The 2,176-nt window shown below is 46.1% G+C and overlaps 1 pseudogene; it reads right to left on the minus strand.

Moving 5' to 3' along the window:
• Positions 1,023-1,908, minus strand: RPS4XP21 (ribosomal protein S4X pseudogene 21; annotated as a pseudogene).

Genomic DNA, 2,176 nt, shown 5'->3' on the forward strand with positions numbered 1-2,176 from the left:
AGCTGGGCATGGTGGCACATGCCTGTAATCCCAGCTACACGGGAAGCTGAGGCAGGAGAATCACTTGGACCCAGAAGGTGGAGGTTGCAGTGAGCTGAGATCACACCACTGCACTCCAGCCTGAGAGACAGCGTGAGACTGTCTCAAAAAAAATAAAAAATAAAAATCTGGCCCGGCACAGTGGGTCATGCCTGTAATCCCAACACTTTGGGAAGCTGAGGCAGGAGGATTGCTTGAGCCCAGAAGGTGGAGGCTGCAGTGAGCCGTGATTATGCCACTGCATTCCACCGTGGGCGACAGAGTGAGACCCCGCCAATAAGCAGTAATGGCATAAAATGCTTAACAAATGCTGTCAATACAACCTGATACAATAATACAAATATTCAGGAAAAATAATGTTTGCTATGTCATATGACACACAAAAATGAATCACCAGCCGGGCATGGTGGCTCACGCCTGTAATCCCACCAATTTGGGAGGCCGAGGATCACTTAAGGGCAAGAGTTCAAGACCAGCCTGGTCAACATGGTGAAACCCCCACCCCCAACCCATCTGTACTAAAAATACAAAAATTAGCTGGATGTGGTGGTGGGATTACAGGCATGAGCCACCACGCCCAACCAGAAAGTGGTTTCTTGAGATGGAATCTGCTCCTGGTGAAGATGCTATGAACATTGTTGAAATGACGGCAAAGGATTTCAAATATTCCATAAACATAGTTGATAAAAAGGTGGTAGTGTTTGAGAGGATCAACTCTAACTTTGAAAGAAGCACTATATGCAATGATATCACACAGCACTGCATGCTACAGAGAAATATTTTGTGAAGAAGCCCATCGGTGTGGCAAATTTTATTGTCTTATTTTAAGAAATTGTCACCCCAGCCTTGCAACAACTGCCCTGATCAGTCAGCAACCATCAATATCAAGGCACGACCCTCCACCAGCAAAAAGATTATGACTCGCAGAAGGCTCAGAGAGATGGTTAGCATTTTCTAGCAATAAAGTATTTTTACTTATTTTTTTAATCATGCCATATTATTTTAAATTACATACGAAGATCTAACATGTCACCCACAGACCATTTCATCCACTGCTCTGTTTGGCTGCAGTCTCTTGTCTCTCCCTTCAGCAATGGTGAAGCGGATACCCTTTCCTCGGGGAAGAGAAATACATGGTTTGTTGCCCTTGTCAATAACAAAAATGATGGAAAAGCTGTTGCTGTTGGCATCTTTCACGTGAATCGTGTCAAAAGATCCAGGGTGCCTCTCTCTATTGGTGATCACACCAATTCTTCCCCAGTTAGCACCTCCAGTCACCAAACACAGGTTACCAGTGTCGAACTTCAAAGCAGTGATGTTGCCAGTCTCCAAATCAATCTGAATGGTGTCGTTCACTTTAATGAGGGAATCAGGGTGGCGGATAGTGTGAGCATCGTGAATCACCAGGTGAGGGGTTCCTTTTGTGCACACAAAGATTTTTCTCATTTTGCATAACTTGTACTTGACTTCCTCAGGTGTAACACGATGTACAGCAAAGCGACAATTGATGCCATAGATCAGACGGAAACCCTCTCCCGTCTTGTCAATGCTGATGACATCCATAAATCCAGTAGGGTAGGTTATATCAGTTCGAACCTTGCCATCTACCTTAATGAACCACTGCATGCAAATCTTCTTCACTTCATCTCCTGTCAGGGCATATTTAAGTCTGTTCCTCAGGAAAATATGAGGGAGACACTCTCTCAGCTTTTGGGGACCAGTGGATGGACGAGCAGCAAACACACCAGTCAATTTATCCAGCATCCAACGTTGTGGAGCTGCTACCCGCTTCAGATGCTGCTTGGGACCGGAAGCCACAGCTGTAATAGGCACAGAAAGAGGACCTCCCATCTTCTATGCACATAGAAACTGGGAACCAATAAAGTATTTTTACATTAAGGTATGTAGGCCAGGTGTGGTGCCTCACGCCTGTAACCCCAGCACTTTGGGAGGCCAAGACGGGTGGATTACTTGAGGCCAGGAGTTTGAAACCAGCCTGGCCAACAAGGCGAAACCCCATCTCTACTAAAAATACAAAAATTAGCCGGGCATGGTGGTGCACGCCTGTAGTCCCAGCTACCCGGGAGGCTGAGGGTGGAAAATTGCTTGAATCTGGGAGGCGGAGGTTGCAGTGAGC

Source organism: Homo sapiens, chromosome 19, assembly GCF_000001405.40.
Source record: "Homo sapiens chromosome 19, GRCh38.p14 Primary Assembly".
NCBI lineage: Eukaryota > Metazoa > Chordata > Mammalia > Primates > Hominidae > Homo > Homo sapiens.